This window comes from Homo sapiens, chromosome 2 (genome assembly GCF_000001405.40).
Source record: "Homo sapiens chromosome 2, GRCh38.p14 Primary Assembly".
NCBI classification, from domain to species: domain Eukaryota; kingdom Metazoa; phylum Chordata; class Mammalia; order Primates; family Hominidae; genus Homo; species Homo sapiens.
Genome location: NC_000002.12, coordinates 142592181 through 142615168, shown reverse-complemented (window position 1 = coordinate 142615168; position 22988 = coordinate 142592181). Strand labels below are relative to the sequence as shown.

Below are 22988 nucleotides of genomic sequence, written 5' to 3'. Positions count from 1 at the left end.
ACTATGATTTTGCCACTGCACTCCAGCCTGGGTGACAGAGTGAAACTGTCTCAAAAAATAAAAAATAACAAGTAAAATAAAATTTTTATTAATGTTTTAAATTTCTCTTCTTACTGTTTTGTTTGCCTTTCTTTCTTTGCATATTTAGAGTATTTAATTTATCCTGTAATTGGAATTTGGTCTTAGAGTAATACTACTTGATGTATCTTGGAATTATGAATTTCACTTCTGTTATATTGTTTTCTGTTCTTGCCACTCGTCCATTAACTTATTCTAACTTTTTTGGTTGACCTCGAATAATTATTTATTCTTCATTAAATCTGTTGGCTCACAATTTATACTTTGTAATGCTTGATTCAAGAATCTCTTAGAGTCAATTGGTACTCCAAATTGTACATTTCTGAAAGACTCTTAGAAATGTGAATGTAAGTACAAACTCCAGAAATAAAACCAAGACTTAAAAATGTTTGACTTTGTCCACATTTTTATGTAAAACTCACAACTAATTAAAGGTCTCATCTCCTCATAAAGCTTTCCCAAGTTACACCCTATAAATCTTTTCTTTCAAATTCCTATAGTATTTCTATGTAGGAAGAGTTTTTATATTGTTTTCTACATGTTTTACAAGTATTAATATAAACCTGGATAAATTGTACAATTTTGAAGGTAAGATTAAGGTACATTTTTTGTATTTTCAATATTTGAAAATGCCTACTGTCTTGTTATTATATACTGTAGGTACTCAGCACATTGATTAAATGCTGAGATAAGTTCTGTAATGTAGGTCTTATTAATTTCATTTCTATTGAACACCTTTGCAGCATCATGAGCAGAAGCAATTTACAACTTCTAAGTATCAGTTATTTTGATTCAATCTGTTTATCAACAATAATTTTTAAAGACTCACACCAAAGTGGTGTGCATTATTTAGTTCAGCATCCTCTTAGCTAGGTGTAAACATTCCAGCAGCAAATTTTCAGTCATTTAATAATTAAAACATTAGATAACCTATTTGCATCATTGCAGAAGGGACCTTTTTCCCCATGGTTCTCTAATCAAAACCAGTTTTTTTTTCTTTTCAAGTACTCACTCCAAAGGCTACAATTCACAGGACGTACACAGATTTCCCTGACATCTGCCTCTTCCTCTATGTAGCATTTCTGCTGGAACAAAATCATGAATCACAAATTTTTATGGGAGCAAATAAGGAATTTTGAACTCAATGAATCCTGTTCACATAAAAGAGAGTTATGTGTTTAATTACACTAGAGAAGAATCTCAATTGTTCTCTGCAACCCGAAGCTCAACTGTAGTCTCTTTAGGTTCTTATCACTGTAATTACTTTAAGTTATATAGGAGAGAGGAGCCAAGATGGCCGAATAGGAACAGCTCCGGTCTACAGCTCCCAGCGTGAGCGATGCAGAAGACGGGTGATTTCTGCATTTCCGTCTCAGGTACCGGGTTCATCTCACTAGGGAGTGCCAGACAGTGGGCGCAGGTCAGTGGGTGCACGCACCGTGTGCGAGCCAAAACAGGGCGAGGCATTGCCTCACTTGGGAAGCGCAAGGGGTCAGGGAGTTCCCTTTCCGAGTCAAAGAAAGGGGTGACGGACGCACCTGGAAAATTGGGTCACTCCCACCCGAATATTGCGCTTTTCTGACCGGCTTAAAAAACGGCGCACCATGAGATTATATCCGGCACCTGGCTTGGAGGGTCCTACGCCCACGGAGTCTCGCTGATTGCTAGCACAGCAGTCTGAGATCAAACTGCAAGGCGGCGGCGAGGCTGGGGGAGGGGTGCCCGCCATTGCCCAGGCTTGCTTAGGTAAACAAAGCAGCGGGGATGTGAGAACTGAGTGGAGCCCACCACAGCCCAGGGAGGCCTGCCTGCCTCTGTAGGCTCCACCTCTGTGGGCAGGGCACAGACAAACAAAAAGACAGCAGTAACCTCTGCAGACTTAAATGTCCCTGTCTGACAGCTTTGAAGAGAGCAGTGGTTCTCCCAGCACACAGCTGGAGATCTGAGAACAGGCAGACTGCCTCCTCAAGTGGGTCCCTGACCCCTGACCCCCGAGCAGCCTAACTGGGAGGCACCCCCCAGCAGGGGCACACTGACACCTCACACGGCAGGGTATTCCAACGGACCTGCAGCTGAGGGTCCTGTCTGTTAGAAGGAAAACTAACAAACAGAAAGGACATCCACACCAAAAACCCATCTGTACATCACCATCATCAAAGACCAAAAGTAGATAAAACCACAAAGATGGGGAAAAAACAGAACAGAAAAACTGGAAACTCTAAAACGCAGAGCGCCTCTCCTCCTCCAAAGGAACGCAGTTCCTCACCAGCAACGGAACAAAGCTGGATGGCGAATGACTTTGACGAGCTGAGAGAAGAAGGCTTCAGACGATCAAATTACTCTGAGCTACGGGAGGACATTCAAACCAAAGGCAAAGAAGTTGAAAACTTTGAAAAAAATTTAGAAGATTGTATAACTAGAATAACCAATACAGAGAAGTGCTTAAAGGAGCTGATGGAGCTGAAAACCAAGGCTCGAGAACTACGTGAAGAATGCTGAAGCCTCAGGAGCCGGTGCGATCAACTGGAAGAAAGGGTATCAGCAATGGAAGATGAAGTGAATGAAATGAAGCAAGAAGGGAAGTTTAGAGAAAAAAGAATAAAAAGAAACGAGCAAAGCCTCCAAGAAATATGGGACTATGTGAAAAGACCAAATCTACATCTGATTGGTGTACCTGAAAGTGATGGGGAGCATGGAACCAAGTTGGAAAACACTCTGCAGGATATTATCCAGGAGAACTTCCCCAATCTAGCAAGGCAGGCCAACGTTCAGATTCAGGAAATACAGAGAACGCCACAAAGATACTCCTCGAGAAGAGCAACTCCAAGACACATAATTGTCAGATTCACCAAAGTTGAAATGAAGGAAAAAATGTTAAGGGCAGCCAGAGAGAAAGGTCGGGTTACCCTCAAAGGGAAGCCCATCAGACTAACAGCGGATCTCTCGGCAGAAACCCTACAAGCCAGAAGAGAGTGGGGGCCAATATTCAACATTCTCAAAGAAAAGAATTTTCAACCCAGAATTTCATATCCAGCCAAACTAAGCTTCATAAGGGAAGGAGAAATAAAATACTTTACAGACAAGCAAATGCTGAGAGATTTTGTCACCACCAGGCCTGCCCTAAAAGAGCTCCTGAAGGAAGCGCTAAACATGGAAAGGAACATCCGGTACCAGCCGCTGCAAAATCATGCCAAAATGTAAAGACCATCGAGACCAGGAAGAAACTGCATCAACTAACAAGCAAAATCACCAGCTAACATCATAATGACAGGATCAAATTCACACATAACAATATTAACTTTAAATGTAAATGGACTAAATGCTCCAGTGAAAAGACACAGACTGGCATATTGGATAAAGAGTCAAGACCCATCAGTGTGCTGTATTCAGGAAACCCATCTCACATGCAGAGACACACATAGACTCAAAATAAAAGGATGGAGGAAGATCTACCAAGCAAATGGAAAACAAAAAAAGGCAGGGGTTGCAATCCTAGTCTCTGATAAAACAGACTTTAAACCAACAAAGATCAAAAGAGACAAAGAAGGCCATTACATAATGGTAAAGGGATCAATTCAACAAGAAGAGCTAACTATCCTAAATATATATGCACCCAATACAGGAGCACCCAGATTCATAAAGCAAGTCCTAAGTGACCTACAAAGAGACTTAGACTCCCACACATTAGTAATGGGAGACTTTAACACCCCACTGTCAACATTAGACAGATCAACGAGACAGAAAGTCAACAAGGATACCCAGGAATTGAACTCAGCTCTGCACCAAGCAGACCTAATAGACATCTACAGAACTCTCCACCCCAAATCAACAGAATATACATTTTTTTTCAGCACCACACCACACCTATTCCAAAATTGACCACATACTTGGAAGTAAAGCTCTCCTCAGCAAATGTAAAAGAACAGAGATTATAACAAACTATCTCTCAGACCACAGTGCAATCAAACTAGAACTCAGGATTAAGAATCTCACTCAAAACCGCTCAACTACATGGAAACTGAACAACCTGCTCCTGAATGACTACTGGATACATAATGAAATGAAGGCAGAAATAAAGATGTTCTTTGAAACCAACGAGAACAAAGACACAATATACCAGAATCTCTGGGACGCATTCAAAGCAGTGTGTAGAGGGAAATTTATAGCACTAAATGCCTACAATAGAAAGCAGGAAAGATCCAAAATTGACACCCTAACATCACAATTAAAAGAACTAGAAAAGCAAGAGCAAACATATTCAAAAGCTAGCAGAAGGCAAGAAATAACTAAAATCAGAGCAGAACTGAAGGAAATAGAGACACAAAACACCTTTCAAAAAATTAATGAATCCAGGAGCTGGTTTTTTGAAAGGATCAACAAAATTGATAGACAGCTAGCAAGACTAATAAAGAAAAAAAGAGAGAAGAATCAAATAGACACAATAAAAAATGATAAAGGGGATATCATCACCGATCCCACAGAAATACAAACTACCATCAGAGAATACTACAAACACCTCTACGCAAATAAACGAGAAAATCTAGAAGAAATGGATAAATTCCTCGACACATACACTCTCCCAAGACTAAACCAGGAAGAAGTTGAATCTCTGAATAGACCAATAACAGGAGCTGAAATTGTGGCAATAATCAATAGTTTACCAACCAAAAAGAGTCCAGGACCAGATGGATTCACAGCCGAATTCTACCAGAGGTACAAGGAGGAACTGGGACCATTCCTTCTGAAACTATTCCAATCAATAGAAAAAGAGGGAATCCTCCCTAACTCATTTTATGAGGCCAGCATCATTCTGATACCAAAGCCGGGCAGAGACACAACCAAAAAAGAGAATTTTAGACCAATATCCTTGATGAACATTGATGTAAAAATCCTCAATAAACTACTGGCAAAACGAATCCAGCAGCACATCAAAAAGCTTATCCACCATGATCAAGTGGGCTTCATCCCTGGGATGCAAGGCTGGTTCAATATACGCAAATCAATAAATGTAATCCAGCATATAAACAGAGCCAAAGAAAAAAACCACATGATTATCTCAATAGATGCAGAAAAAGCCTTTGACAAAATTCAACAACCCTTCATGCTAAAAACTCTCAAGAAATTAGGTATCGATGGGATGTATTTCAAAATAATAAGAGCTATCTATGACAAACCCACAGCCAATATCATACTGAATGGGCAAAAACTGGAAGCATTCCCTTTGAAAACTGGCACAAGACAGGGATGCCCTCTCTCACCACTCCTATTCAACATAGTGTTGGAAGTTCTTGCCAGGGCAGTCAGGCAGGAGAAGGAAATAAAGGGTATTCAATTAGGAAAAGAGGAAGTCAAATTGTCCCTGTTTGCAGACGACATGATTGTATATCTAGAAAACCCCATTGTCTCAGCCCAAAATCTCCTTAAGCTGATAAGCAACTTCAGCAAAGTCTCAGGATACAAAATCAATGTACAAAAATCACAAGCATTCTTATACACCAATAACAGACAAACAGAGAGCCAACTGATGAGTGAACTCCCATTCACAATTGCTTCAAAGAGAATAAAATACCTAGGAATCCAACTTACAAGGGATGTGAAGGACCTCTTCAAGGAGAACTACAAACCACTGCTCAAGGAAATAAAAGAGGATACAAACAAATGGAAGAACATTCCATGCTCATGGGTAGGAAGAATCAATATCGTGAAAATGGCCATACTGCCCAAGGTAATTTACAGTTTCAATGACATCCCCATAAAGCTACCAATGACTTTCTTCACAGAATTAGAAAAAACTACTTTAAAGTTCATATGGAACCAAAAAACAGCACTCATCGCCAAGGCAATCCTAAGCCAAAAGAACAAAGCTGGAGGCATCACACTACCTGACTTCAGACTATACTACAAGGCTACAGTAACCAAAACAGCATGGTACTGGTACCAAAACAGAGATACAGATCAATGGAACAGAACAGAGCCCTCAGAAATAACGCCACATATCTACAACTATCTGATCTTTGACAAACCTGAGAAAAACAAGCAATGAGGAAAGGATTCCCTATTTAATAAATGGTGCTGGGAAAACTTGCTAGCCATATGTAGAAAGCTGAAACTGGATCCCTTCCTTACACCTTATACAAAAATCAATTCAAGATGTATTAAACACTTAAACGTTAGACCTAAAACCATAAAAACCCTAGAAGAAAACCTAGGCATTACCATTCAGGACATAGGCATGGGCAAGGACTTCATGTCCAAAACACCAAAAGCAATGGCAACAAAAGACAAAATTGACAAATGGGATCTAATTAAACTAAAGAGCTTCTGCACAGCCAAAGAAACTACCATCAGAGTGAACAGGCAACCTACAAAATGGGAGAAAATTTTCGCAACCTACTCATCTGACAAAGGGCTAATATCCAGAATCTACAATGAACTCAAACAAATTTACAAGAAAAAAACAAACAACCCCATCAAAAAGTGGGCGAAGGACATGAACAGACACTTCTCAAAAGAAGATATTTATGCAGCCAAAAAACACATGAAAAAATGCTCATCATCACTGGCCATCAGAGAAATGCAAATCAAAACCACAATGAGATACCATCTCACACCAGTTAGAATGGCAATCATTAAAAAGTCAGGAAACAACAGGTGCTGGAGAGGATGTGGAGAAATAGGAACACTTTTACACTGTTGGTGGGACTGTAAACTAGTTCAACCATTGTGGAAGTCAGTGTGGCGATTCCTCAGGGATCTAGAACTAGAAATATCATTTGACCCAGCCATCCCATTACTGGGTATATACCGAAAGTACTATAAATCATGTTGCTATAAAGACACATGCACATGTATGTTTATTGCAGCATTATTCACAATAGCAAAGACTTGGAACCAAGCCAAATGTCCAACAATGATAGACTGGATTAAGAAAATGTGGCACATATACACCATGGAATACTATGCAGCCATAAAAAATGATGAGTTCATGTCCTTTGTAGGGACATGGATGAAATTGGAAATCATCATTCTCAGTAAACTATCGCAAGAACAAAAAACCAAACACCGCATATTCTCACTCATAGGTGGGAAGTGAACAATGAGATCACGTGGTCACAGGAAGGGGAATATCACACTCTGGGAACTGTGGTGGGGTGGGGGGAGGGGGGAGGGATAGCACTGGGAGATATACCTAATGGTAGATGACGAGTTAGTGGGTGCAGCACACCAGCATGGCACATGTATACATATGTAACTAACCTGCACAATGTGCACATGTACCCTAAAACTTAAAGTATAATAAAAAAAAAAAGAAACACACACACACAGACACAAAGAATGAAAGCCATAGTAAAAGTAAGAAAAATAAAAAGAAATAACAAAGTTATGTTTCTTTAAAAAAAAAAAGTTATATAGATTGAAAGTAATAGCAACCATTTGTGAAGACTCCACTAGATTTGAGACATTGTATTATGATTCAATTTAATCACGTTTTGTGTTGGAACCCCTCCCCACTCCATGTAAGTTTTATTATTTTGTTTTAGAAAAGACAAGTTAAAATAACATGGCTTAAGTCATGCACCAACAAGCTCTATAATGAAAATTAAAACATAAATGTATCCTTCTTTAAATCCACACTCTTCACTAAACCATGTTGCCTCCACAATTCCTCTCAAGCATACAGTATTAACTAATAAAACATGTTCTTAAATTTGCACTGTACATTTATCCTAATTTAATAGAGAAATCAGGTAGCTTCCATTTGGGAATATTAATTTTGAAATATAAAAGCAGTTAGTCAAAAGATTTAGAGTCCTTTTTTGTGGAAGGTGTTTTGACTTAGGTTTCTAGATCAATGGTTGGCATCAATTTTACCAATATGAATGTATCTAAACCTTGGTTAAACATAAGAGACAAACAGAAATTTATTAAAGTAATAAACATAAATATTTTTTGATTTTTTAGCTATTTCACTTTCATTTTAATTTGTGGCATATTGTTTATAATCTGACACCTTGATTATGTGATTAAATAGCTTATACTGTATATCATATTCAGTCAACATAGGTGACATAATCAGGCAAATCGAGCAATTGTCTGGCCATCAGACTTTATTAATGCTGATAACCAATTCAAAAACATTCTTTGAAGTAATTGTCTCTTAGCTCAATACAAATGTTGCTTCAGTTTTTTCATCATGTGCCTTTGGAGAGCATCTAAATATTGTTTTTTTCTTTCATTTATTTTCTTGTTGCTTATGTTGTTTATGGGACAATGGTTCTCAAGCACTGTTGACTGCAAACAACTCATCTGGACAGCTTGTAGTTGGCCCCATCTCAGAGATTCTATTTCAGTTATTGACAGACAAAATCTGGTAATTCTGAAGCAATTTATCACAAGGACCATACTGTTGTGGGTAATACAGCTCCTTAACATCAGTCAGTTAGAAAATAATATTTATTTTGTGGGAAATATTGAGTTAGTGTTTATTACTGAATAGCATGTATGCCTGCCTTCAGTGTTTTTCAATCTAGCTAGGATGATATAGTATACATACACATTTTAGGACTTTTGTGGACCAATCACCAAATAGTGATTATTCAATAGTTTCTAGCAACCATAATTTTCAAATGCAGATGTTTCTGATTACCTTCATTTTTACATTATTTTCCTTGATTATTCCCAGTTAAAGTGAATTAAACATATAGATAATTTTATAACTTTCCCTATATGTAGCATAAAATATTGACAACTGGTTGAAAAGCAGATAGTCAGATGTCATTATAAAGCAGGCAAATATAAATAAATTATTATTAGACCTAATAAAATATCTTATAACAGTTTAATTTATAGATTTGTGGGGATTTTCATCTTTTAAGAATGATTTTGTCTATTGCTGTATTTAATTAACATAAAACCAAAAAAATATATAGTTTACTCATTTTTAGTTTATCACTTGCTCCAATTCTGGGAATAAGTTATCAAAAATTTCATAAAATATTAACTTGGATTCTATAATTAAATGTATTTTGTTCTTATATATGTACACCATCTGAATTTATTTGGCTTCAATGTAAAAAGTTAAATAATCTTTACCAGACCAACAAGTATTGAAGTATTTATGAAAGTTCATATGTATCACTAACAAAATTGATGCAAATATCAAGGAAAATATCTGACAGACTCACTATGGGAAAAATAAACATATGAATAGTTAATCATGGGAGAAATAAACAAGATTAACAGCTGTAGACATGTTGAAAATTTTATTGTATTAAATATAGCCATGTTTTGTTGTATCTCATTAAATTTCAGCTGGAAATTTTATTCAGAGAAGTTAATTTAAACAGGCTTTGCATTGAGTATTGTCATAATGTTTAAAATCTGGGCGATGGGCTTGAATCAAAGAGTGATGGTAAACAGTGTCATGTTCGCTGAGTGTCATAGCGATGTATGTCAGCCTGGTCTTACTTGAAACCTCATTAATGATCTGAGAGACGGAGTGAATAGCACACTAATGACATTCTGACATGAACTCAGATTGGCAGATACTAAAAACACCACTTAAAAAAAGGTCACTGCTGGAAACTATCTTAAACAAGTAGAATCTTGGCAAGAAAGTTAAAACACATTTAATTTTTCCAATGGGATGTAGCTGAAGAAAATAATGGAAACTATAGCTTGTGAGTTCAATCTTTTAAAGGCAGTCTGGAAATAGGTAAGAGTAACTATTAAATTAAAACACTGTATTCTAATTTTGCAGGATAACAGCTCCATAGATATTACAGCATTACATTCAAAGGTTTAAAAAGTTAGTAGTTCAAATTATACATACACAGAAATCTACATATCTATCTGAAAATCTACATGCACTTTTCTATACTTAATGCTCCAGATATATCTACATTATAGCTCCTCAGAGAATGAACTTTAAATTTTGTTATTGATGTTGGCTAACTCATTCCAAAAAAGCTGTAGATGAAGTGGCAGGAGAGAGAGAAAAAGTGCCATAAAAGGCAATTAAAAAGTGAAAAAGGAATAAGAATTAGGAAAGAATAGCATCCATATGACACCTTTGGGAAAAGAGAGAAGAATGCCTTACTGGAATCATTTATATGAAATGGAAGAAGGGAAAATAAACAGTAAAAAAAGAAATTTAGAATAAATGTTATGAAAAAGTGGCAAAGTAATGGAAATAGCTTTTACAAATGAAACTAGTTTGAAAATGAGCTTCACTACAAGTGTCACCTTTGCAAAACACATACATCTCAGTCTCTACAGTATAAGTTCAATTACCCTGTTTATGACGTTCCTAAGATCATTTTTGCTCTACTGATTTAAACATTTCAGTGACATAAAACTGAGGTAATTCCAAAACTCTACATATTAATTAATTGAAACAAAATATATTGAGAAGCTATCAGTTTGTCAGTCCCTGAACACGTTTTGCCTTAGGCAATTTCTAAATTGTATTTGATATTCTAGAGTTTGAGTTTTAAGATCATGTACTAAAAGTGCATTTTTTGGGGGTATAGGGAAGAACTCCCTTTTAAGTGTTATAGTAAACATATTTGAAAGAATACTGAATGAAAAGTCCAGGGAACCAGATTCTGTTAATTTAGTCACTAACCGGGATGGCCATGGGAAAATTTCTTAAATTCTTAGATTTAATGTTAAAATTGGAGTAATGGAATTACATTATCCTATAACTCTAAGATTCTATGTTTAAGAAAGAAGTCTCTTGTCCCTCTTATCCTCTACAATCCAGCAAATATGGAAAAGATTCTAAGAGAATACTGAAAAGAAAGATATAGTACAGCTAAACAAAACAGATTCTACTGTACAATTTATGGAAATGAAATAATTACTTACACACCAAAACACTGTGTCAAGGCAGCATAATTAAGGTATTAAAAAACTACCTAGAATTCTGAGAATTAATGGAGCTGAAGTGTGGATATTTAATGACACATAGGGATTCATAATAAACTGAAATCATATATATGAAGAGTAGATTATAAATAAGCAGAAAGAAAAGAGTGAGAACTTTCCTTCAGGGTTTGTTATTATTAAAGCTTAACTTTCAGATCTGATATTTAAATTTTTGATGTGGAATTTTGACAAATGCCACTTGGAGGCACTCTTATACTAACTATTCTACTGAAGAATTCATACTCTCAAGATGTCAAAGAATGAAAGTTCTAGTTTTTATTTTCCTTTTTTAATTCTAATAATCACTTGGGGATGGGTAATTAACACTGGTTGTGGTATTTAAACTTTGACGTTATTCAAATTTATCACCTTGTGATTTTTACAGGTATAAATAATCCCCTGTTCATCTAATAAAACAGATTTCATTCATGCCTGTAAGGAATGAAAGAAGGGTTTTAGGATATCATCTAAAAATTAGTTTGAGAATAAATTTTGGTTTAAAAGCTAATGTCAATTTTTCAAGTGAGAAATTTTTACATGTTTTAAAAAAACTGGTCTTTATTTAAATTTGCTACTACCAAAAATAGAACAATCAATGAGAACTCAGAGACACTTTTGATGAGAGCCAATCTCACCAGCCAATTTTTAAATGTTTAAGGAAAATACAAAGAATCAACAGGATTATATTAAAATATTTTATGAAATACAACAGCATATACAATAGTGCAAGTTAAAATTGATTTGCACAGGAAAACTAAAGTTCATAGGTATCAATTTTTGGTAAGATATTTTTAAAGGAATGGATATTATTTTAAATTTTTCTCATTTTTTGTTCATTTTATAAAGTTAATTTTAAAAATAATACAACTATTCTTACAACACATGTAAAGATGGATTGTTAAGTTCATATTTTATTTTGAATAGATTTGAAAGATCTTGACTATTATATGAACAAGTGTATGTATATTTTACCTTATTCTACTTTAATCTGAAACTATAATCTATAAAAGAGGACATTAGAAATAATCACTTTTTGCTATTGCTTTTGCATGGGATATTTTGATGTTTTTATGATGAATGCTATTATTGTCATTGTAACATACAAACTATGACATTAAAATGCTGATTTTTAACAACATTTTAAGTAACTGCTCAAAGATAATACCGATTAAAATAGTATATTTGACTATGAATAGAATGAGTAAATAGTAACAATTAGTTAGACTCTAACAAGTGTTAAATAGGTTACTCTATTAGTTAGGTTACTAATTGTTATAGTAAATAGTAACCTATTACTGTTATTTACCTATAGTAAATAGTAACCTATTACTGTTATTTACCTATAGTGAATAGTAACCTATTACTGTTATTTACCTATAGTAAACAGTAACCTATTTACTATAACAATTAGTAAACATGTATATGTTACAAACTAATATTTGAAAAGGCTAATGAGCTTTTAGTTCTTTAAATGCTTGTTAGCCCTATGACATATCAAAAAGTATGTGTCATCTGGACACCTTAGGTAGGAAAGAGGTTCTTCAGTAGCCTGACTTGTGGGTTATGTTCCCATCCACAGCTGTGGGCACTGGCTCATTCTTCATTCTTTCTACATTCATGCCTCCTTGGGATAGTGATTTATCTTCAGGCTCTTAACACCTAAGACATTTGTATTTTTCAGCACTACAAAGTTTCTTTTGTCCTATTTCTACACATAATGAATCACTTTCTTTAATCTAGGAATTTGATTAATATTTGGATAATTTATATCTATATATATGTACATTCTTTTTATTGGTTAATACATCACGGATTATAATTTTCTGATAGCAAAGGGCAAGGTCTATTTATATAAATTCATATATGAACTATAGTTCCACATAGTCACCAAAGACATACTTTCTCCAGTAATTTAATGGAAAATTATATTTAGAGCTGGGGAAGTTGAAAATAGTAAACATTGGATTTTTCCTGTTTCCAAGTCAATGGATAAGGATCATATAAGGAAAGCACAGTAGTGGGATATTTGTGTGTTCTAGTTGTTCATTTTTTGTGTAACAAACCACCCCAAAACAGTGGCGTAAATCAATAGCAATCATTCATTTTGCTCACAAATCTGGGGATTGACAGGACTCAGCTAGTCCAGTTCTTGCTCAGGGTACCTCATGATGGAGCCGTCAGACAGTAGCTGAGGCTGGGACACCCAGGAGGCTCTTTCATTCGTGCATCTGATGTAGGTCTCCTCAGGCATCCCTCTCTCTCCTTACGTGGTCTCTGCATATGACCACTCACCGTGGTTGGACTTCGTACATGAGGCTTTGTGCTGCCACCAGGCCCGTTGTCCCAAAACACCAAATGTGTGTGGCTTTTTCTTGGTTAGCCTCAGAAGTCACACAACATTACTTTGATCACATTATATTTGTCAAGCCTGCCAAAAGGGCCCACCCAGTTTCAAGGGAAGAGGACATAAATTTTACCTCTTGATTGAAGAATGTCAAAAAAATACCACATTTTTAAACGTAGTTCGTTTGTCAAATTTTCCAATTAAAACCAGGCTCCTGCTTCAATCAAGTTGCAAATATCAACACAAAATATGAGGCGATATTTTGATTATTGAATATATTTAATTTAGCATTTTGTATACTTTGAGATTCCCAATTCAGTGAAATATATCTGCATTCTTTCAAATGCATTATGCTTTCACTCCCAAATTTTAAATAAAATATATTTCATTTGTACTAGTGAGAAAAGGTTTTCCTAAATCTGTAATGTACTAGGACTCCTTGATTTTCTAATTCTATGCATTTTAAGATAGATAACTGCTTAGAAGTTATCTAGTCTAATTCTCTGTCTAAAACTTGAAACCCTTTGACAACATCCCTGCTGGATGAGCATCCAGCTTGTGCCCAGGTAAACAAAGGGATAGTTGACTCATGGGAAGTGCATTCAATTTTTACCCAGAGACAGTAATCAGAAAATGTCTTCCTTAATTTAAGCCACCTTCTGCCTGCCTTTCTACCTCACCACTTCTCATTCAGCCTAAAAATACACATAAAACATTTTTGTCTTGGTCTCATCCCTATTCCACCAAATCGGTAACAAGTTTTACTGCCTGGAAAAAACATGCTACTTAGACGGAATCACAAACATGAGATTTCATGCAAACTTGGTAGCAATCATGTGGGTAGTGAGCAGAGAGTTTGGCTTGCTCCTCTGGCCTCAAGGATAATCCAAGATGGGAGAGCAGAAGGAGAATGCAGACTGCTCCAATAAAAGATTCTGGATGTGATCTTTGTCCCAATATCCTCAAGTTGCAAATTCTAATGGAACATTGAAATCTGTTCATCTCGTTCATCATATTTTAAGAGATGGAGAGGAAATAACTGCTCTTTCCTCTGCCCTCATGCTGTCTTTATCTGCCTCCTTTTCCTGACTGTAAATTGAAAGAGAGGAATACATATATTCTCAGTTGTACACAATACCTGAAGTTTCTGGCATTTGAAAATCCAATAAATATTTATTCAATAAATATATATTTAGCGAATGAATACATAAATAAATATTTGAAGTGTCTGTGGTATCAGAAATGTCTCTGACATCCAGTGAAGAAACAGGAAATAAACTACCCCCAGAGAGTTTTCTGGAATGCAAAGGGAGCTAAAAGATCACAGAAGAAAGAAGGGTGTCCTCTCTCCTGTTAATACCAGAACATATTCCTTTTTAGAGTATTTGGGTATGCATTTAAGAGAGGTTACTATTTTCCTAAACTCTGTGATTTCCCAAAAATGTGTTTACCTAGGATGAGGACAGCTCTGCCCTCTGACTTTTTCCAGCCAAAGAAGAAAACTGCAGAGGCCAGCTCTAGGGGAATTATTTGATCAGTGACCCTCATGCACTACAATCTTATTTAATAAAGCAAATCAACTGATGGACTTACTGCTGCAATGGTGGATTCAATTCCTGCCTGATGTAAAAGTAAATAACACATCAAGGAGAAAGGAATGGGGAAGTGGGACATGCCATTTTTCACAATATTTTTATTTACTAACATACTAAATATTCTCATTGTATTGAGTCATTATGGAATTGGGGAAATACACAGTTTGAAGTCAGGTAGATGTGGGATCAAATCTCAAATTTAAGTGACTTTGGAAAGTTACTGAACTTCTCTGAGCCGGTTAGCTCATTTATAAATATGGCTGTTGTGAATATTAAACAATATTGTGTAAGCATCATGCCTAGAACTGTCTCTTCCCTTCCTCTGTTTCCCCTCTTTTTGTCATCACTGATTTGCTCTAGAAAATAATCTTATTTAGGGAATTAGAATTGTGGTGTGGATTTTATTCTGTAGTGAATATTATGTATCTTCCCAAAATATTGAACCTAGATCTGATGACATCAGTGTGTACATAAGTGTGAATGCATCCCTGGTGCTTCCTTAGACCTTTGGACTATATAAGGCAGTAATCCCTACAATGCAGATCAAGCACATACCAAATATCCAGGTCACTTGATCTTATGAAGCCCTTTGTCTAGTGGGTAAGACAGAACACAATATAGGGCTATTTTCAAAATACAGGACAAAGGAAGCAAGATATGAACACAGGAATTGAACTCAGAAGACATGGAGCCCTCTGTGTGTTTTAAGTTCAAGCAAGAGAAATAATAGTCATTTAAACTCGGTGGCCCTCCTCAAGTTTCTCACCTGTGGAGAATAGTGCCGGGTCATAATAATTATAAGCTATATTAAGGGTTTAAAAGTCATGATTTATTAAACTTATTAACCAAATATATGCTTTTCAAAATAGAGGGAACTTTTATTTGATGGTTTTTTTCTATTAATGCAGTGTAAATGAAAAGTGGAAAAAAGAGGGGTCTATAAAGACACATGGAGAATTAACTTATACTTAACATCTGGCTTTTTAACATTTCTTGACTCTCTGAATCTAAAAATCAATTTATTTGCAGGTGTGGAAGATGATAAATCAATATGAAATGAGTTTCAATCTGCTAAGTGATAACTGGTAACATCTGAGTTGGTTATATCTCAGTTAGTTTCTCCTGTTCTCCATTCACAACTCTTTTCTGGAATGTTAGCAGAAATGTTTTGCTGTTGTTGTCACTATGAATCATGAACAGTTTTAGACTTCCACTATGGCAGAGACAATTGCAACTGCCAAATGCTCTATCTGCACTGCCATGTCCCTGTGCCCTTCTATTTACCTGGGACCATGTGATGAGTTCTGGCCTATGGGCTGTGGGTATAAGTGATATATCACCCCCACCCCAAGCTTGAAAAAGCAAGTTCACAACTCTCCAGCTGTCTCCTCTGCTGAGGGGACAACAGGCAAGTCCTCCTGCTGAGATGAGTGCTATAAGAGCAGTACAGTCAGCATTGCTGGGCCCTGATTGTTATCAACATTTGCCCAAATCTATAACAAAATAGGTACTGGGGAGAAAAAAAAAATCTTTGTTTTGTTAAACCATGGAAACTTTGGGGATGCTTGTTTCCACAGCATAGACCTACTCTAGACTGACTACTTCTTATCCCAGATATCAGTATAATGAATTCATTACTATACCACTTGACACTGAGTTTGCCCATGTAGCCATCAGCAAATATATCAAAGTACACTTGTTAAAATCAGTTACACAATTAGAAAGATGTAAGTCTATGTGAATAAATTGCTGAAAAGAGATGATGGTTCTTGGTGGATCACTAGTCTTCAATAATTACACTATAATAAAGTAATTATGTTAGAAGAAATTAATAAGGATATAAGCAGAAAATCTTGGAAGTGATATACTTTTCCTCATACTTTCAACCCAACAGATCCACCAGCCGACTGGTAACCAGCAGCATTCCCAGAGGAGTCCAAGCCTACAAATTGTCCCTACTTCTCTTTCCAATTTATATAAAACAGAACTTGTAACTTACTGGTAAGTTCCTAGTTAGCCCATAGGATAGGGTTGAAAGTTCAAAAGTTCCTTATTTAATTTTATTTATTTATTAATTTTATTTATTTATTAATTTTATTATTTTTTATTTTTATTATACTTTAAGTTCTAGGGTACATGTGCACAACGTGCAGGTTTGTTACATATGTATACATGTGCCATGTTGATGTGCTGCACCCATTAACTCACATTTACATTAGGTATATCTCCTAATGCTATCCCTCCCCCATTCCCCCACTCCACAACAGGCCCCAGTGTGTGATGTTCCCCTTCCTGTGTCCAAGTGTTCTCATTGTTCAATTCCCACCTATGAGTGAGAACATGCGGTGTTTGGTTTTTTGTCCTTGCAATAGTTTGCTGAAAATGATGGTTTCCAGCTTCATCCACGTCCCACAAAGGATATGAACTCATCCTTTTTATGGCTGCATAGTATTCCATGGTGTATATGTGCCACATTTTCTTAATCCAGTCTATCACTGATGGACATTTGGGTTGGTTCCAAGTCTTTGCTGTTGTGAATAGTGCCGCATCCTTATTTAATTTTAGTAAAATTACTGTGGAAGCAGTAATCATGGATAGTTTAACTTAAAAGGCTCCCTTTATATAATATGGTCTTTGAAATGAGCTACAGTGGGAGACATCAGCAAGACAGCTGACTAGACGTGCCCCGCACTCACCTCTTCCACAAAGAAAGACAAAAACCGTGAGTAGATGACCACATGTTGAATAGAAAGTCTAAAGGAAAATGCGAGACTTCAGCAGGGAACCAACAGGGACCCGAGTATTTATATCCAACTGATTTTCTCCAAAGGCACCAAGAACACAATTGAGGAAAGTATACCCTGAAGCAGTGCTGAAAGAAATAGATACTCATATATATAAGAATGAAAGTATATCCCTATCTCTCATGATATATATAAAAGTCAACTCAAAATGGATTAAAAACTTAAACATAAGACCCAAAACTATAAAACAACTAAAGGAAAACAGGGGAAATGCTTCAGAACATTGGTCTAAGCAAAGATTTTATGGGTAACCCTTCAAAAGCACAAGCAACAAAACAAAAATAGACAAAAGAGACTATAACAAACTGAAAAGCTTCTGCATAGTAAAGGAAACAATCAACAGAATGAAGAGGCAACCTGTAGAGTAGAAAAAAAATTGCAAACTATTCATCTGACAAGTGACTAATATCCAAAGTTTGCAAGGAACTCAAACAACAGTGCAAAAACAAACAAAAAACCCACAAAGAAACTGATTAAATATGGGAAGATTCTAAATAGACATTTCTCCAAAGAAGACATACAAATAGTCAAATATATAAAATATTCTCGACATCACTCATCATCAGAGAAATGTAAATCAAAACAAAAATGAGATATCATCTTACCCAGTTAGAATGGCTGTTATTGAATAGACAAATAAATGCTGGCAAGAGTATGGGGAAAAGGGAACTCATACATTGTTGGTGGGCATGTAGTTTTTGTATTCACTGTGAAAAACATTATGGGGTTTCCCGTAAAACTAGAACTACCATATGGTACAGCAATCCCACTACTGGGTATTTATCTAAAGGAAAGGAAATCAGTGTATTATTTTTGTTTTTTTTTTTTTTTTGTTTACAAACAAGGTCTTGCTCTTTTGCCCAGGCTGGAATGCATCATAGCTCACTGCCATCATAGCTCACATAAGCCTTGAATTCTTGGGATCAAGTGATCCTCCCACCTCAACCTCCCAAGTTGCTAGGACTACAGATGCATACCACCATGCTCAACTAAAAAAAATCAGTATGTAAAAGAGATAGCTGCACCTCATATTTATGGCAGCATTATTAACATTAGCCATGGTATGGAATCAACCTAAATGCCCATCGGATAATTAATAAAGAAATGTGTTATATATACAATGGAGTAATATTCAGCCATAAAAATGAATATAATCCTGTCACTGTCAGCACCATATATGAGCCTGGAGGACATTATGTTACATGAAGTAGGATAGGCACAGAAAGATAGATACTGCATATTCTTACTCATGAGGGAGCTGTAGAAGTAGAGAGTAGAATTGTGATTATTAAAAGATCAGAAGGATAGCGGAGAGGAGGATAGGTAGAAGTTGGTTAATGGATACAAAATGACAGCTACATAGGAGAAATGAGTTCTAGTTTTCTATGGTAACGTAGGGTAAATATGGTTAACAATAATCTACTGTATATTTTTGAAAAGCTAAAAGAAAGAATACATGTTTGAGGTGGTAGACATGCTAATTACTCTGATTTGATCACTATACATTTTCTACATGTATCAAAATATCACTCTGTATCCCATAAATATGCACAATTATTACATGTCAACTAAAAATAAAAGCACCAAAAAGATATGAGCTACATTGGAATTAAATGAATAAACTACATTGTTCTTTACTAAAATTATTTGGATGTAAAACTTTTTGGCTGCTGATGAGGGGTAATACTTATAATGTTCTAAATATGTTTGTACACTATTAAACCAATGAACAACAAATATGTGACTAGAAAATGTCATCAATCCACTTATGATTATAATGATGATTATTATTTTTAGATGGAGTCTAGCTCTGTTGTCCAGACTGGAGTACAGTGGCATGATCTCGGCTCACTGCAACCTCCATCTCTTGGGTTTAAGCGATTCTTCTGCCTCAGCCTCAAGAATAGCTGGGACTACAGGTGCATGCCACCATGCCCGGCTAATTCTTTTGTATTTTTAGTAGAGATGGGGTGTTAGCATATTGGCTGTTTTTGAACTCCTGACCTTTTGATCTACCCTCCTTGGCCTCCCAAAGTGCTGGGATTACAGGCATGAGCCACCACGCCCAGCCAATCCACTTATTTAACCTAGTTTAAATCTAGTATTGAGACAGTACATTTTCCTTCAGGACATTTTGAACACTAAAATTCGAGAATTTAATTGCTTTCGTTCTTTTGTTATTTGTTTCAAATATTCAGATGACTATATTTAAGATAGACCTGTGTCATATTATAATTATCACTGGCTGGAAATTGAAACCAATATGAAACTTTCATTTTCATATTACTTTCTAAGATATATTTGTGACCTTCTCTTCTAGAAAGACTCTTTTGCAGATATAGTTTTACTTGCTCATGGGTCACTAGATAGATTTATGCTTGTGATGTATATCTTAACTGGTGCCTGATATTAATTTGACCAGCCAACTGGTGGAACATTTAAAACACTTTCTTGTTAAAATGATTCAACAGAGGTAGAATTATGCACTACAACATCAATTTAAAAAACCCATCTGTTCTAACAAGAAAGTTTGTAGTTTCTGAGTTGCTCTCTGAAAAATTGGTGAAGCTTCTAGATTCTAAATCTCACTACATGCATAATATTGACACAGATTATAGATTAGTCTATAGTGTTTGTAAGACAAAAAATGTATAATACTATGTATATATAAAGATAATTCTACACCTTCTATACAGTTATACAAATTTAGTCTAATTAATTCAACAGTAGTCACTCTGTAACATTTAAAAATAACTGTATAGTTAACAAAGTTTGATGGGAATTCCTGATTTCAAATTTATTACCTAAGAATGTCCATATTCTTTCAGAATGTGCTCTTTAGCAGCCTCAACAACAGTTATTTGGAGGAAAGTGTGGTCTCTCTGAGGGCAGGGATTCAACATTTCTTCTCAAAGTTCCACGACCTTGGCTCTAAAGTGAAAACAGGTAAGAAATACACATGGCTTTTCAATGCAGGAAAATATTAATTAGAACCTTTTCAGCTAAGGTAGCACCACACCCAACTCAAAATTGCTTAAACAGTAAGAACGTTAAGCCTTCATGTAACAAGAGTACTGGGAAGGAGGTTCCAGAATTTGTTGGATTGGTGAGATAATAAAATCCTCAAACACTCATTTTAAAAAATCTTCCGGTGCATGTATCCTCACCCTGTCAGCTAATGTCCTCAGATCTGACCCTTTTTGAGGTTAAGAAAATATCAGTCCATTTAGTGTTGTTATAACAGACTACAATAGACTGGGTAATTTATAAAGGAAAGAATGTATTTTTCACAGTTTTGGAACCCAGGAAATCCAGTGTCAGCTTGCCTGCATCTGGTGAGGGTCTTCATGCTGATTATTCCATGTTGAAAGGCAGAAGGGCAAGAGAGTGCAGGAGCAAAGAGGAAGAGATCTGAACTCACCCTTTTATTAGGAACTTACTCGCATGATAAGTAACCAACTCCCATGATAATATCATTAATCCATTGATGAGGACAGATCATCTCATTATCTAATTACCTGCTAACGGTCTCACCTCTTGACACCGTTGCATTGGGAATTAAATGTCCAACACATGAATTTTGGGGGATACATTCAAACCGTAGCAAACTGAATAGCTTTCAGCATGCTACCATCCCCAACCATCTAAATGCTAAAAGGGACAAAAAGGGTGTTGATCTTTCTAAGATGGATGAAACCCATTCCAGAAGCCCCTGGATGATTTCCTCAACACTGTACTTCTCCAGAATTGCATAATAAAATCTCATCTATATCAATCAAGGTTGAGAGGAATGGAATTGTCATGATATTCAGTAATCAAGATTCAACCTCTAGCTAGGTCTAAGGGGAGCTCATCTTTCTAATGCAGGTGGCCACCTGATGTGTGAGTAAATCTGTTGTTGTATTAACAAAGAAAAATTGGAAAAGGATGGCTGGCTGTTTCTTCAGCAACAAACAGTGCCTGCCGTAGATCATAATATCATTATTTCTAATTAGCCATAAGTAAATACCAAGAGGAATGTGATGAGAGAAAAAATTAGATAAGAATCATGGTTTTGTTCTGAAGTCCTGGGGAAGACTTTTGGTACTATTTTGTATTTGTGGAAATGTAATCATAATTTTTTTTTTACTTCTAGTCCTTCCAATGATTAGTATTTTTGCAAAATTAATAGTAAGTTATGTATAGTAAAACTGAATATTTGAAAGAGAATATCATTTTAATCATGGAATACTGGAGAATATATACAGGAAAGCAAAATAATGCTTTTTAGCATTTTTCAACAGGCAAGGGATATACTTAAACACCCTTAACTCAGGTAAAGAGAGAATAAGATAGTGCTAAAACAGTGGTAAAATATATAGTTTTTGTAATATTATAAAAGAAACTTTATAATTAGGCCATATCCAATGCCATTCCTAAAATTTTATCAATGTACATAAAATTCCCTAATTCAAAATTAACACTATCACTAAGAAGTTCAAAATTAGTATATTATCACTATATTGTTATTAAGAAAACTTACTTGTTTTAATTCAATGGGTAACTTTTATGTTCAGAAGCTTTAAAACACAAAATAGTTAACAACTTTAAAAGTAGAAGATAAATACTACAGTTAATAGTTTTTGCTTAAGAATTCTAACAGTAATATTTTGGGATTTTAAAAATGAGCAGGTTATTCAGTAACAGGAAAGTGCTCTCTCCGTGAAGTCAGTTAGATACTGACATATCCAATATTAATGGGGCAGAAATGTAGCTTAACTTGACAAGCAGACCTGCCTCCTTGTTACCTCCTGAAATCATCCAGAGGGTAACCTCCAGGCTAGTAGTTATGGTTCTGGGGACATAATTGAGGTGTCTTTGTTTGTAAAACAGATAATTGAGGTTGGCTGATATTGAAACCCCTTAGTATCCACAGGCGTAGTAAATTTTCCATCACCTTGTATTTTCTATATCCTCGATGTTAATCTTTTTTCTTAACACCAGAGGATGGAAGGTAAGACTTTTGATTTACTTAAAGTTTGTTGCACACTTTGCACGTTTGGTTTGGATGAGTCATTGACTAAGCAGTTATTGTTTTAAGACAGGTAATGTGTAGGTAGTAATGAAGTTGCCTAATGCCTAGAGAATCTTCTTTTTATCTCCTGCAATATTAAGTACATTTTCTCCTCTAATCCTAAAACAGGTCCCCAAATTCCATCATTTGTAGAAGACTTAATAATAGGAGGAAAACCAAAAGTA

The 22988-nt window shown here is 35.7% G+C and overlaps 1 annotated feature.

Annotated features, from left to right (window-relative positions):
* Positions 1674-2250: an enhancer, noted in NCBI's record as "H3K27ac-H3K4me1 hESC enhancer chr2:143370488-143371064 (GRCh37/hg19 assembly coordinates)". NCBI's record gives its function as "activates a minimal SCP1, AML or CMV promoter by ChIP-STARR-seq in primed H9 embryonic stem cells {active_cell/tissue: H9 hESC(primed)}" and the evidence as "EXISTENCE:reporter gene assay evidence [ECO:0000049][PMID:30033119]".